This window comes from Homo sapiens, chromosome 7 (genome assembly GCF_000001405.40).
Source record: "Homo sapiens chromosome 7, GRCh38.p14 Primary Assembly".
Lineage (NCBI taxonomy): Eukaryota > Metazoa > Chordata > Mammalia > Primates > Hominidae > Homo > Homo sapiens.
Genome location: NC_000007.14, coordinates 13734142 through 13750276, shown reverse-complemented (window position 1 = coordinate 13750276; position 16135 = coordinate 13734142). Strand labels below are relative to the sequence as shown.

The 16135-nt window shown below is 35.2% G+C and overlaps 1 long non-coding RNA gene across 2 annotated transcripts in view; it reads right to left on the bottom strand.

Annotated features, from left to right (window-relative positions):
- Positions 1-16135, bottom strand: part of LOC105375161 (uncharacterized) — a 37849-nt gene that overhangs the window by 262 nt on the left and 21452 nt on the right. The window contains exon 4 of one of the 2 annotated variants that reach the window (XR_007060213.1): positions 758-6843. The exons of the other annotated variant lie outside the window; for it this stretch is intronic. This is a non-coding gene — a long non-coding RNA (uncharacterized LOC105375161). Of the gene's footprint in view, positions 1-757; positions 6844-16135 lie in introns of those variants that run through there. 2 annotated transcript variants of the gene reach the window in all.

Below are 16135 nucleotides of genomic sequence, written 5' to 3'. Positions count from 1 at the left end.
CTCTGTTCAGTAGGGCAGTTCTGGTGAAACTATTCTCACTTTAAAATGGATTTCTACAGGTTCCAAAAAGTGGAAAAAAATACTTCGAAATAATTGTTAAGTCAGAAAGGACCTCCCGGGTTCTATTTAACAGAAATTATATGCCTGCTTCCACAAAAATGGATTTTCTATTTAGGTGAGCCATTCAGCTGAAAAATGAAATGGGCCATAATAGCATTTTTACTGCTTAAACTTTCATTTCAATGGCTCCCATGCTACTTTTCCCAGTAGAATGTGAATCCTTACACTCAAAAGCCAAAAAAGTGTGGGGGAGGGGAATCTGTTTTATGGCTTTAGAAATTATCGTTTTAAGTGCTGGCTCTAAGGTAGAGTTGCAATGGAATATTCCTTTAGCCAGTGGCACAGACGGGTATTTCTGGATGAGATTCTGCCCCCTTGTAGTGGAACGTGATGTACATTTTGATTCCCTGGCATGCCTACACTAACACCCATCTGTTATGATGGCATTGTTCCTAAAAAAAGGTGGTTTGCCAGGTTCCAGAAGTCCTAGGTGTCTGGCATATGTATACATTTCTAAAGGTATTTTCCAGAACTAAAAACAACAACAACAACAACACCACAAACAAAAAACCAAAAAACAAACCATGAGAGCTTAGTTAGGGTGCTTTCTCTTAGAAAATAGTTTCATTGGTGGGCTATTACAAGCAATTATGTCACTAATACATACATTTAGGAATAAGCACCCTTTCTTATGTTTAACACTGGAAAATCTCCATGTGGAAAGAAATTCATTGGGACTTTGAATAATAACTCATTTTACTTATAATCAATCCTCATTCATTGTAGCTGCTCTTATTCATGAATACCTATATTGTTTCATTCATGTTATTTTGATCAGTTCTACTAAGTATTCCGTAAGATGGATTGTTAGAGACTAGAACCTCCAGAAGGACTGCTGTGACCAATTTTGAGATGGAAATTCATACCCCATAAACTTGACAACATACGGTTGATTGCCTGAGGTTAAAGAGCCCAGAAACGGCTTAAGTTAAAGTCAAACGATGGAAATCCTATAGAGCTCTGGGGCCCACAGGGGGTGATTGGATAATTTGGTTACTGAAGAGAAGACATCCCGTTGCTTAGCTACAGGATTCTGGGTGGCAGCTCTTTTCCCTCTCACATTTCCTGGCGTTTTGTTTTTGTAAATGTAGTTTCTTGCAAATCAGAGTGTCTGCATTCAGATGTCCACATTGCAATTGTTTTGATTTGTAAAATGGAACAGTATTTGAGGAAGAAAAATACTAGGAGAGGTAAAATTTGGAAAGGAACTTCCCCCATGTACTTCACTGCTTAAACAGATTAAATCAAGTAATATAAAACATTGTAGAAACTTAAAATTGTGATATGCACTTTGCAAGATGCAGTATTTTGACTGCAGCACTGAAATCAGTTTCATTTATCTCTTTAAGAATAATAGCACAGACACCTGTTGCATACACATGATTAAAAACCTCTGATATTCAATCTACTTGTTGAAAAGAAGATTTTTTTAAAAAAATGCCAAAGATTGTATAGACATATATACATTATTTATTTATTCCATCTTTGAATACATTTAAGTTAAATTATCACATTTTACTTTGTATTCTAGTTTCTGTTTTAAATTTCTTAGCAGTAAGGCGTAAGGTATAAAGTGTAATAATTTCTAAAATGATCATTCCACAACCTATAAAAGTCATCATCATCTCATTATAATAAGTTATCTGTTTATTTTGTAGTGTTACAAGGTTATTGAATTATTTAGATTAAAATAGCAAGGGGTTTTTAATACAGTTCCATGGAAAACATACATGGCTATATTTAGAAAATCATTGATAAGTTGTGAAATCAATTCAAAAGTGTATAAAGCTTATATTTTTATAAGGTTAATGAGGAAATGTCAAAAGAGTCATTATGCTCTTCTATCTTTCAGATTTTCCTTATTTGGGGACAGGCTAAATATATAATGTCTTTGAATTTTTTTTTACTACTGTTTATTATGTATAGCTCTGGATAAAGAGTATTAAAACAAGGGTGACAGAAACCTGTTAGGCTAAGAAAGCCAATAAACTTTTGCATGATAGATTTAAACTATATGTTACCACATAACTTAAACATTGTAACTGATTTGGTTGTAAAAGAGACATTTTTTCTTAAAATTTTGAAAATAAAAAAACCTACAAGTAGAAATTAGTCATTCTGTGGGCAAATAAACCTAAGACTATGAGGCTGAGAAAGGATAAAATAATTGGGAACCTAGAAAAAAACCCTGAAATTGTCATCGTGGCATTAACAGTAACATTGTCAGAGTCCTTACCACATGCTGGGAAGCCAAAAGACAAAACAAAACAACAAAAATACACACAGACACACACACACACACACACACACACACACACACACACACACACACACACACAAATCAAGATGTCACAGGAAACTAGGACAATGCTTAAAGAAAGGTTTTATAGAGGATATGTGACTTAAATTGAGTTTTGACAGAATGCTGTGATTTTTGAGTAGAGAAATGAAGACAGATATTCCAATGAGAAAAATAAGAAAATTTCAATTAGAAAATAATGATAAAGAACTATTGAATCAATGCTCTACTATTGACATTTTCTTTAGAATCACTGAAATATGCATTAATTTCAATAAAGGATAAAATTATTGAACATGGTAAAGATAAGTTGCCTATCCAGAGACAAAATTAACAGCTTTCTTTGGACACATTGGGTCAAGCAGATATATACAGACAGATGCATATCCTTGTGATTTATGTTCCATTAAGATCATATATCTTTTTTCAGAGAATTTACAGAAAAGAAAAACACTAGAAGAATATACACTAAAACCTATATTTTATGTTTTATGAGCCTTTTTCTGTTATCCTTTTGGTCGTCTATATTTTCTTAAATGCCCAGCAATAAACATGTATATATTGTACAACAGTGTACATTTTTTATTTTTTTACCTTTAACGTTGTCACATTTATCTGGGTTCCGTGAAAGCAGTGAAACTAGCACTTGTATTTTTCTATAAAGTACTTACTTTTCTACTTGCTACCTGTGATTAAGAAGTCTAAGTATAGATGTCCAGAAGAGTACTGTACTATATTAAAGCTAGGTCATATTTTCAAATGTGATTAACATTCTTAATGCACTCTTTTTTTTTTTCATTTAACTTGCCTGGGTAAATTTGCATAACTAATGAAAGTTATACAGCCCACAACACAGCTCCCTATACCCTAGGTATTTCTATAAATATCTTTGAGGCTGTTTATGTTGAATAATATTTATGAATTATGAATGCTTTTTCTCTCTTTCTTCTTTTCTCTAGCCCACGCTTATACTGCAAGGCACTGTTAAAATAGCCTGCATACTCAATAAATGGCTTCTGTACAACAGCTCAGTAGAAAAACAAAAAACAAAAAACAACCTGGTGAGGAGATGACAGATGTTTTTCCCAGTTTCTTCCTCCAAACAAGAATATTAGGTATAAGGCTTTTTCCAGGAGATCTCTGTGGAAACCAATTTTTGTGTTTTATCTTGTGAGCATACCATTGAAAAATGTTATAGAAGCAAAAATTGACAATAATTACTATGGTATAAAGTTTAAAACCATTTTCATCAATAGGCTAAAAAATCATTCTGCTTTTTATGTTTTAAAAAAATTTTAAACAAGTAAATTAAAGTCATGCTCTATGAATGATAACTCTATAGTAATTTAGTATAAAGAAAGGTTATTGCTTTCAGTTTATACTCACAAAAACTTTATTTAAATGTCTTCCGTTATGTGTTATTTTTTAAAAGAATGCTAGAAAGGTCAAGTTTATGATATTAGATATATAAATGAGAATCTCTTAAGATACTTCTTATAATAAATACTTAGGGACTAGTATTTAATACATTTATTTGAAGACATTTTGTAGACTAGAATTAATAAAAACCTAAACATAATAAATCTATGTAGAAAGAAGCATTAAGATTTGAAGGGTGAGGATATAAAGGATGATGATGGGCAAATATTAGCAGTCACTTTTTATTTATTTCCTTATGGTGTTATTTAATTATTAGTTTAGCTTCATTTCATTTCTTTTCTTTCTTTTTAACTGTAGGATATGTATGTTGTAATCTCTGGAAATTTTTTTATTGTTTAAAAATGTCAACTATATTTTTCATTAACATTATGAATCTTTTTAAAGTAAAAAAACCCCCACTTTCCTACATTATTCTAAAGATTAAGACATTCTGAGGTGGCCATATTTTTTTGGGCTGGACCAAGTACTTCTGACAGAGAAGGGCATTCTGGTCCCAACTTATTTACACCCTGCTCTTTCACAGCAGCACAAAACAAATTAAGAGGTTTTAATCAACACAGAAAAGTTCTTTCCAAATCCAAACAGCTGGTCTGAATAATTTATTCACTTTTTATTTAAACAACCTGCTCTCATTTTTTTCTGATGTGTTATTTCTATTCTAAAAACTACAATGCCCCATCTCCAGGTTGCGAAACATGAGCCTGAATTCTCTAGTAGAGGGAAGTGTAACATGAAATGAATGTGTTTGCATGTAACAAATGAGGAGCAATTAAATGTTATTAAACTAATGAATAAAATCAAATGTCTATGGAGAGTCCCAGTACAATTCAAGACACACACACAGTAAAAGGACTAGCTGCAGGTTTTGCTAATGTTTCAGCTCAAGGGTGTATATTTTTATGTTTCTTTTTTCAATAGGTTAGGTGACAAGCAGAAAGTAGAAGACTCAGTGATATGAAGATATACCCTTTACTCTGAATTAGTTTGGGAGAAAAAAATGACAGCTATTTCCATGACAAGGTTCTTAGGAAGAACCTTGGATAACATGTCGAATACAGCTCCCCAGGCATCTGTTGGTTTTAAGGATCACGGTGCGTTGAGTGGAGTAAGAGTCTAGTGTTATGATAGACTATCTACTCAAGTGAACCATTCTGCCTCCCTCACTGTTATTTCAAGTGGATAATTCATTCTTCACTGTCCATCTGAAAACGTAGTGATGTAGAGTGGACAGACAAAGAATAGCAATGAGGCTGCTTTTCAGCTAAGGTGGGGCTTGTTCTATAAATCCAATATGGGGGCAAAATGCAACATGATCTTTTCTTTTAAAGCTGATAAAATGGCTTAGAGTCACTTGCCCTTCCAAAATATCAACTAAATTGGAAAAATAAGTGCTTAGACTTTCATGATGATGATTTGGAAGGCTGTCACTCATGTGGATGAAAATATTTTGATGTCCACTTTCCCCCTTTTCCCTACTGTGCCAAGTTTTATAATCTCATAGCTAGAGACTGTATGAGGGTACACAGTCTAAGCAAGGGATACTGTACAGTCGTGGTGGGAGAGAGCACAGGCATTGAATCACACCATTTTGATTTGAATCCAGTATCTATTACTTACTAGCTGTGGGATCTTCAGCAAGTTAAGTTACCATCTATAAGCCTTAATTACCTCTTCAAAACAGTGGGATAGTAATAGTGCCCAACAAATATAATCAAATGAAATGACAATTATGAAGCGCATGACCATGTACCTAGCATAGCATAAGCACATGATAAATCTTATTTTACCAAGCTATTTTTTTCTGGAGAAATGCAACTTCAACTCTCATAAGGACTTTGTAACAGAACTGTATACGTATCTTTCCCCCAGTTTAAGATATAAACTTATGGCTGATCTAAACATTCACACACAGACACACAGACACACACACACGTCGTTTCTCTGTGTCTGCCTCTATAGCGCTCTCATTCTCTTTCCTGTATACATACATGCACACATACACACATATACATATATAAGTGAATATAGTGTGTATTCTACATACATACACGTTTTTGACTATCAGATAAATATCTATGACTTCACAAAATTTGGATTTATGAGGTTGTTAAAAGGAACCACAGGACAACATTGGAGTAAGGAGAGAAAAGAAAGACATTAGTGTGAAATCAATGTCACAAATCACAACACTGGAGTGCAGTCAAGAAAGTTGTGTATGAAACTTGTTAATCCGTCTTCTCCCTGGAAAGCTTTACTTTTTCTGAGAGAACTTAATATCACCTAGGAATTATTATATTTTTCCGCAGTCTCCCCTGTTAACTAATTCCCTTGTTGCACACATAGAGGTACAACAGTTTAATAAAACAAAGAGTGACTTGACATTGCCAGCACAGGGTTGTTTGTGTTCACCTGTGACATTTACAAGTGAAGACATACAGAACCTTCTTTTGTTTCCTGGATAATCGTTCAGGTGTTAAAGAAGTTGATTCAGTTTTAAATGGCATGATTTTCTCAAGCCTTGGAAAAATAATTGATGGATTTTCTTCTTTTTTCATAGCTCAAGTATACAAACTGCAAAGTCATGTCTAACTGTTTAATTTTACAAGACTGGAAAATATTGAATTTAAAGCTTAGGCTTTAGTTTAGGTTTATTCCTGGTGTTCAACACTGTCTAAACTTTCACAGGCAAATCGGAAATGAAACACAATTGAAAGTAAACCATGCTTTTTCTGCCTGAAAGGGGCCTTAATATTTCATTTTATGTTTTCAAATGGAATCTAATGAGAACGTGATTTTATACAGATACCTTGTGTCAATTATTCCTTGTATTCCTTCTAAAGCGATCTGTGCATTCAACTTGAAGCTTCATTAAGGATCAAGCCAAGTAGTCTTTAAAAAGTACAGGGTTTTGGTGATAGACAGATGGTGGCTTTCATGATGTCAGGAAGTGTCAGATATTATCGTTGGCTGCGGGATGGTGGCTACTATCCAAACAGATTGGGAAACAGACAGAAAGAGCAAGAACACCATTTGTTTTATTTAGATACATTGTGAACAGAAGGAAGCAAGACAGAGCATACTTTTACACATCTTTTTTCCACTCCTTGTGAAAACAGTTTAGGATTTGTTATGTTATATTAGCCCTTTCATTATGCAAAAACATGTGAAAGCCAGAGACACTGGTAAAAGAATTTGTCTCATTGTGATTTTCTATGAAGTTTGTTTATTTTTATTCTTACAGAACATGGTTTTTTAAAAAATTTCCTTTCATTGGCAATATTGAGTGCTAGAAACAGAGGGAGCTGAGATGTTGCCCTTTAGAAGTGCTATACTGTTAAGAGAGTATGAAGTGAGTATTGACTTCATGATCCAGAATGAGGGCTTCTCAGAGAACCTTATCAAAGATTCAGTTCCAAAACTGAACTTGCTTGTTTGTGATGAAGCTTAGTTATTTCTGTAAGGATTTAATTCACATTGGCAGCCAGAGGGCAGCATCAGCTCCAGACAAATATGCTGGTCCAGTTACATGAGCAAAGCTGAGTATTTACTCAGCAGTAGACGTAGGCATCAGGGCACTGTAGCATATTGGTGGGGGCCTTCCTAATCTTCATTTAAAAGAAAGTGAAAATTTGCTAGCATATTCAATAGATAAAACACCTTCAAACTTTGCTTTCTGAGAGTTACTTATATTTACCTGTTACCATAATCTTCTACTTTATCCCATAAGAGGTAACCAAATTTTTGACATTTTGATGTATCAGAGATCTGGTGCCACAATCTGCTGTACAATTGTGTCCCCAAACCAGAGTGAATATATTGGAAATGTGGTTCCTAATGCAGCTCCCATATATTTGAATGTGAGGGGCCAAACTAAATAAGGAAGAACACGTTGCTCATAAAAACCAGTAGTATGGTGTTATATAGAATGCAAATATTTAGGACCCGGAAGGACTTTGGAAGAACATTTTAGATTAGTGGTTTTCACCCAGTGCTTCAGAAAGTTCCAAAGTTTCATGCAGGCCCTTTATGGGCTGTGCTAGAGGGTGAGTAAAAGGTCAAGACTCCACTCCACTATCTCGGCTTCATCTCAACAGCTGTGTCAGTGATGTGGCTTTCCAGCCTAGGGACAAACAAGGATTGGAATCTTGGCTTAAGAGATGAGCATTCCTGTAGTAGAAAAGTGTAAAGCATTTGGCTGGGGCTGAGTTGGCATGACTGTATTTTAATTGCTCCCTAAGTTCAAACAGGAGTCAAATTCCAGAATGAGGTTTGGGATAACTATGTTACAAGGTAGAATAACCTTCCTCTCACCTCCTTCCACACCCCACTGATATTTGAGGCCTGAACATGATCAATATACCCAGAGGCTTTAAAGAGAAAGGAGAGCCTGAAAAAAAGTAATCTTAGCCCCTTCCTAGGACCCCCTAAAATTGCACAAGGCTGTACTTCAGTCAATGCTGTCTAAAGCACTACAGGCACCTCTTTTGTAAATGAGCTACTCCACAGCAGCATAAGAAATATTGTGAATTATTTACTGGGGGAGTCTTGAAATCACAATATACATACTGAATAATAACTAATAGTTTAATCATGTGTTCATTAAAAGGCAAAACAAAACTCTCACTTTCCTTTGGTTTTTGAGACAAGCCCATATATAAAGGGGAGAACATCCTGAGACACCTGGTGGAAAGCTGGTCTCTGGATTGTGGGAGGGACTGAAGTAGACTGAAAAGAAGGGTAGCATACACCCTTCATGCTAAGGGCATCCTGATTCAAGAGTCAGTCAGTGAATCTCAAAGAATTTCTACAAAGTTTTGGTTTATGCAGTAAATTTTATTGCTTTACATGAAATTAATCCTTGTTCTATCTTGGAAAGAATCTGAAGCATTTGACAGGTTAAAATTATGTTTCTCCAGAGCATGAATTTAATATCAGCCCTGGTTAGAAGTCATGAACTGTTGCAAGAACTCTTGTAAAGAGAAGTGTAATGTTAGAATATATGCTGAAGCCAATAATTTATATCATGGAATTAAAATATCTGGGAGTCATCTTAAATCTCACTTGGACTTTCAGCAGTAGTACACATTGAATCTATATTTTGGTGGGCTATCAGAAGAGGAAATATTTGATACATAATTTATTGCTCAAATGTTATTATTAGGTTTCAAACAGCTAAATGGAGAATTGTGTGTAAATTAAGATGTCATTGCATTAACAGTTCAACTTCTTATTTAAAAACGATGTTGGGGCTTGTTTCAGTGTACTTTTCTATGAAGTTTATTTTTAATTTTACAGAATGTAATTTATTTAAAAATTTCCTCTCATTGAAAAATATTGAAAGCTTCGAACAGAGAACTAATTTTAAGCTCTGCAAAATATTATTTCCTCCTAATTTTAGGAACAGGAAAAAAAAACCGCCTTACTTTACAAAAATAGACAAAAATTACTTGCCTAAGCTGCTTGGTGTTAGTCTCACAATTTCTAGAGCTGCAACCTCTGACCGAGTATTCATTTTTCAAATCACATAGATAATTCCGTATGTCACCATCCAACCCTCAATACATTTATACACACTCACTTGTTTAAAACAACATTTTGAAACGCATGGTCTGTTGTCATAACCTACCTCTTGTGGCTGGAGATTTCTAAATCCCACACACCTACCTAATAATGGCATGAGACTGTTCTGTTGTATGATTGATATATATGTATATCTCATATGTAAATACATATCTATGTACTTTTTTATTTTTATAACACCAACTTTGTCTTGAAGTACTTGTAACTTCAACCATAAAATTTATGCCTTTTTAGAGACAGAGGGAGAATTATAGACGCTGACACTCATTTTTGGATCTCCCCAGTTTCTGAGAGAAAGAGCTGAACTGAACCACTGCATATTGAGAAGGAAGAAAACCCTGAAATTCATTCTTAATGTAATATGCAGAGAAGACATATTAACTCTTATAGCAAAAAGAAAATTCATCTACATTCTTATCATTCAAAACAGCCTAAACTGACATTTTAACACATTTCCTTATGGTCTTTTTCTGTTTTTGGCAGAAGTGTGTATCTGTTTTTTTAAAAAATTAGTTACATCATACTATTGTATACAATTTAAAATACTATTTTTATATTGGACTTTTAACAGCATTCTTGAGTAGTGGAGTTTGTACTAATTAATTTTTATGCTTTTTATTGTTATTTCTTCAATATTCAATTTCCCCCTAATTTTATATTTATCTTATAGCCAGAAGAAAGTGTTTAAAATAATGAAAATAAGAAAATCAATATGGCAGCAGTTTTCTAGGTAGATTTGAGTTAGAAAAGTAAGGAAACATGAAGCTATTTGGGATAGTGACTCTTGGTAGGAACTTGGGAGAATGAACATCTTCAGCATCTTCAAATTGTAACCTCCTGCTGATAAAGGGTTCAAGTGATGTCAGTAAGATCTATCCCCCTTGGTTACGTTTTGTCTTGACTTTCTTCTCAGACTCGATGGAGGAAAGTTATATACTTCAGGCTCACAGAACTGCAACACCAGTTCAGAAGAATCTGTTTCCCCAGTAACTCAGAATTCTGTAATTGAACTGTGTTGACACCGATTGACTTGATTTGAGTCCTGTGCCCACTCTTGAGCCAGGAGGGAATGAGCTTGTAGACATGTTTTGTAGACATGTCTTGTAGACAGGAGAGAATGAGCTGACTGGTTTTGCCTATTTCATGTATTCAAATCCAATAGGTATTCATGTATTCAACTTCACGTTTCATGTATTCAACAACTTCATATATTCAACTTTATATTTCATGTATTCAACTTCAATAGGTTTTGCCTATTTCGTGTATTCAACTCCTAGACCCTAGGGGTGAAGTCTAAAAAGCATGATTGAGAATGGAATGAAGAGTTTACTCATATCAAAGTTCATGTAGTAACACCATAAGAAGAAGAAATGACTGCTGGGAATAAAAACTAACAAATTCCACTAGAACTTTTATGACAACACACTCTCCTTAATGTCTTCCTATCTCATCTACATACCCTCATGTACTTCCTATCTCTTCCCATGACTTCAGTGGTTTTAAATACATAGCTATGTTTTCAGTGCATTCCCTTTTTGTCTCTGCTTATCTGACTATATCCCTTAGGCAACTTGATCCACTTTGAATGCCTCAATCAGAATATATACATATCAAATATTTATTTCTATACCAGCATTCTCTCCTCAGGAGGAGCCCTGTCTATCTATCTAAAAGACATCTCTATTTGGATGTCCTGCCCTAAAACTTCACAAGTTCCATAGTGAAAATCTTACCTACCTTTATAAATCTGTGTTTTTCCTGTTCACCTTCTCTTAGGGAGTGGCACCTTCTTCCCCATTTTTCCATGTCCATTACATTTTAAATCTTACTGCCTTGTTATCCTTTGATATTATCAATGTCTCTCCATCTCCCTTGCCACTATTCTATTTTTCCTGTGCTGCAGTACTGGTTTTCCAGCAGGCTTAGCTGAGGCTGGGTCCATCTTTCCCTCCTGCCAAAATTAACTTCCTAAAATCTGATCAGGTCAGTTCCTCTTGAAACCCACAAATGATTTTCCATTGCTCTCGGAAGAAGACCTATTCATATTGTTTACAGGAGACTTTTATGCTGTAGTCTCTCCTTATGTCTCTAGCCTCATCTCTCTTCATGCAGGCCCTGAATTAATGGGCCACACAGGACAACTTGCAGTGGCTTGAGTGTGTTGCTTTTTTCTTTAATTACCTCCAAGCATTTGCATGTATTATCACTTCTGCCAGGGAGACCAGCATATTAGCCTGATTACTTTCTATTCTGAGGTCATTTCCTATGGATAAGCTTTTCTGGTCACCTCTCACACCTACTCTAAAGGCAAGGTTATATGCTCCCTGTCACCTACCCTGCCCCATTGTGGGAGAGTTTTGAGACCTTTTTGTAATTTCTTCCTTACTTGGATATCTTCCCCAGTGGATTAAAATCCCTGAAGATGGTGACTGTGCCTTAGTCAAAGTTGTATTTTCAGCATTTAGATGGTGCCTTGTGCTTAATTATCTCCCAAAATAATGTTTATTGAGTGGATGAAGGCAGTTGTTACCCCATGTTACAAACAACAACCCCAGTCACAGAGAAGTTGTGGCTTTTACAATTCAATCAGTGTTTTAATGTGAATGTGGCTACAAACAAGTATTTTAGCTTTATAGTCAGCCTGTTAAATTTCTCTCCGCAGATTTTTGGGGCAAAGTCAATCAGAGTGGTCCTGCCGAAGAGGATTGTATTTTTGTATCTTCAGGAGTTTATTGGCATCAAAATGAGGTAGCTTTTTTTTTTAGAATTATGTATGTAACATCAGTTCAATAATGATAGATTGATTAGGTTTCATCTCTGAAGGGAGCTGATAGCCTAACACGAGGGCAGGAATCATTACCTTTAGCTTGTCATTAATCCTTATGAAATATCTTTTCCTATAGTAGTAATTGCTCTTATAAATTGAAAGTGGAAATATATTTATGCAAGGCTGAAGATTTCTGTTTTCTGCTATTTCAGGTATATGTGCAAGGTATTTCTAGAGACTTAATGTTCTGTACTTAGGCTTATCAGATTGCTTAATACAGGTTTCCACACTCAGTCTGTGTAGTGGATAAGATTTCCTCCTTCATCACTTCTAACCCTGTGATCAAAGCAACAATCAAAACCCACTTCGTGTAAATGTTATTCTGAAGAACATTTGTACCTTTTGCAACAGCCATTCTGCCTTATTACAACATAACTTAGTTGAAATTTCTGGTTATTTGTTTATATATTGTGAGGTTTCCTTATAAGAGGATTTTTATTCTTACGGACAAAAAGACATGTAACGAGAGGAAAAAATATATTCTAAATTAGGCATCTACTTGATAGTTTGAGGGGTATTTCATTTATTGATTTTAACACCATCATTTTTATTTGATATAAAGGTGAGTGGTGATTAATCTATATGAGCAAATGTAATGAAATTAATAGATTTTTGTTTAAGAGACTATCCATAATTGCTGGCTTAAATGATTAGGGTTTCTACAGATGTGTTATGAGAGTTTCTTTCATGTGTAATGGCAAATAACTGAAGGCTACATATTTAAACTATTATTTGTGACCAACTAGACTCTCCTATCTAACCCTACCTGTGGTCAGTAACACACATTGGTGACACAGCTGGCCACCTAATAGGCTGTGCAAGATAAAACTTGATGGGTGGAGGAATGATTAGATACTTAATTTGGTCACCTTTGCAATAAGTTCTAAGCAACTGAACAAACATTCTTAGATTATAGAACTTGAGTTATATCAATTTCTGTGGGCAGGGACAACACTTTCTTTGGAAATCTTTCTTTGTAAGTGGCCTCCATGTAACAGGAAAGCGCATTCCCTACAGGTGCCTTTCTTTTCCTTTATACTCAAGTAGAAGCGGGAATAGAGTTGATGGGCCTGTCACAAAGACTAATATTAATGTCACATAGGATAGGAAAGTAAACCAAGTAAATCCATCTGTGTCTCACATTTGGTATACTACTACACTTGGAAGAAATATGGAGGTTTCTAGATGTCCTGCTTTGAGAACTATTAACATAAGTTTGAATTTAAATTGTATGGGTATGCTGTTCCCCACTGTCATTAAGCCAACTTACTTGACTTATGAGTAAGTTAAACTATTGCTCCTTTCCATCAAGCCAGCCATGCTAACATGTGACTCAGTCAGCCATTATTAATTTTTTACCAAAAAATTACCTATGTACAAATCATTTTCTTTTATGTTTTGCTTTCAATTGATTTCCAATTGGTTTACTGAATGTGCTGAGTGATTTTTAGATTATAATGTGAGGGCGATTACTTCAGATTCTTATAATCTCAAAAGAACTTCTGAAAAAGTCATATGCATTTTTAGAAAATATCAGTGATGATGATAAGAAGAGCACTTGAAACAGTATTAGGTATGAAGTCAGACAACTTGTGTTTGAATTGTGACTCTCCCAGAGTTTAGCTACTTGTTTTCATACAAATTACTTAATCATTCTAGGATTTAGCTCTCAGAAATAATAGAAACAGCCTTAGAGGAGAACCATGAGCATGAAGTTTATGTGAAAATCCTTATTAAAGTGTCTTGCCCCTGGTAGATGGGCAATAAAAACATATTTTTGAGTTAATTGTTAAATTAATAACTGAATTAAAGAAAATAGGCATCCCAGCACTTTGGGAGGCCGAGGCGGGTGGATCACGAGGTCAGGAGATCGAGACCATCCCGGCTAAAACGGTGAAACCCCGTCTCTACTAAAAATACAAAAAATTAGCCGGGCGTAGTGGCGGGCGCCTGTAGTCCCAGCTACTCGGGAGGCTGAGGCAGGAGAATGGCGTGAACCCGGGAGGCGGAGCTTGCAGTGAGCCGAGATCCCGCCACTGCACTCCAGCCTGGGCGACAGAGCGAGACTCCGTCTCAAAAAAAAAAAAAAAAAAAAAAAAAAAAAAAGAAAATAGGCATTATTTTAAAAGACCAATGCAAAAAAAAGCGATGCACTGAGGATTAAACTGCAGTTGAAGTTAGTGTAAATGAACCTGAAATAATGGAGTTACACAGAGTTCAATTTTAAATTAAGATCAAACTACCCTGAATTCCAGAGGTTTTATTAAACCTTTCCATTGATGTTGGCCTTAATAAGTAAGTTTTTGTACCATATTGAGGAACAGAATTTAAATTTTCAATACACTTAATAAGTTGGAAAAATAAAATGTCACAAATGACAAACTGAATTTTTTAATAGACTTATTTGTACAGCAAGTACTATAGAGAGAGAGAAGATCTAAGTATTAATAATGATAAGACAAAATAAGACCCCTTGGTTATGGTATTCTTTCTGTGAGTTACTAATATTATTATAATGGCTTTTTATGTGGGGTATTGCAGAGGGATATGAAGCAACAAAAGCACTTATGAGAATTTGTCATTATAAATTACCACTTCACACATTCTTTTATACACTTTTTGCTTTTCTAAATACAGAGAACCCACTGTGTGTCACACAGTGTCCTCAGTTCTGGGAATATGAAAGCAAAGGCAAAAACTGGTTTGTTGACCTACCAAAACTATAATCCAGGGAAAAAGAGCTATTAAAATATTTTACAAATATAGTAAGTTTGATGAAAAGAAAACAGTACTAATAGCACAAGTAAGAGATCAAAGACACGGGATAAAGTTCCCCGTAGTGTGAAACCTAAAGACCTCGAGAGAGTGGGTATCAGCAGTGTGAATCATGTGTGTGTGTGTATATATATATATATGTATATATATATATATGCACGTGTGTGCGTGTGTGTGTGTGTGTGTGTGTGTGTGTGTGTGTTTAGAAAGAGAGAGACAGACGAGGGTTCCATGACAGAGTAAAGTATATGTTCAGAGACCTGGAGATGAGAGCACATGTCTATGGTCTGGAGTGGAAAGCTAGAGATCAGGTTAAAAAGTAATCAGAAACAGGCTGGGCGCGGTGGATCACGCTTGTAATCCCAGCAATTTCGGAGGCCAAGGTGGGCAGATCACCTGAGGTCAGGAGTTCAAGACCAGCCTGACCAACATGGAGAAACCCCATCTCTACTAAAAATAGAAAAAATTAGCCGGGTGTGGTGGCGCATGCCTGTAATCCCAGCTACTCAGGAGGCTGAGGTAGGAAAATCACTTGAACCCAGGGGCAGAGGTTGTGGTGAGCCGAGATCGCACCACTGCACTCCAGCCTGGGTGACAGAGCGAGACTCCATCTCAAAAAAAAAAACAAACAAAAACAAAAATCAGAAGCAGTTACTGGAGGGAACTTTAAGCCTTCAGAAGCATTAAAGATATGTGTAAGGAGATGCTACTCATGCATTTTAAGCAGGACATAATATTGTCATATTTGTTTTTTTGGTTGTTGTTGCTGTTAAATTCAGTCTTGATGCTTTACAATTTGTTAAAGAAACACCTGTAAAGACCACACAAATAACAAATGGAATGCAGCACCTGGAGAAGTTAAAAAAAAAAAAAAAAAAAAGAGCATTGCATATTATTTAATAAGTTAAAAATATTTTTTAAAGAAAATATATAATGTGGGGAAAAGGCCACCATGCTCTAGGATGGTGGTTCTCAAACTATCTGTGGTGGAGGACTAGCTTTCTTTTTCTTCTCTCTGTTGTTTCCAATCTGTCACAGACTGACACTTTTATGAAATACAATGAAGATGAATTACTTAGAAAATAAACTTTAAA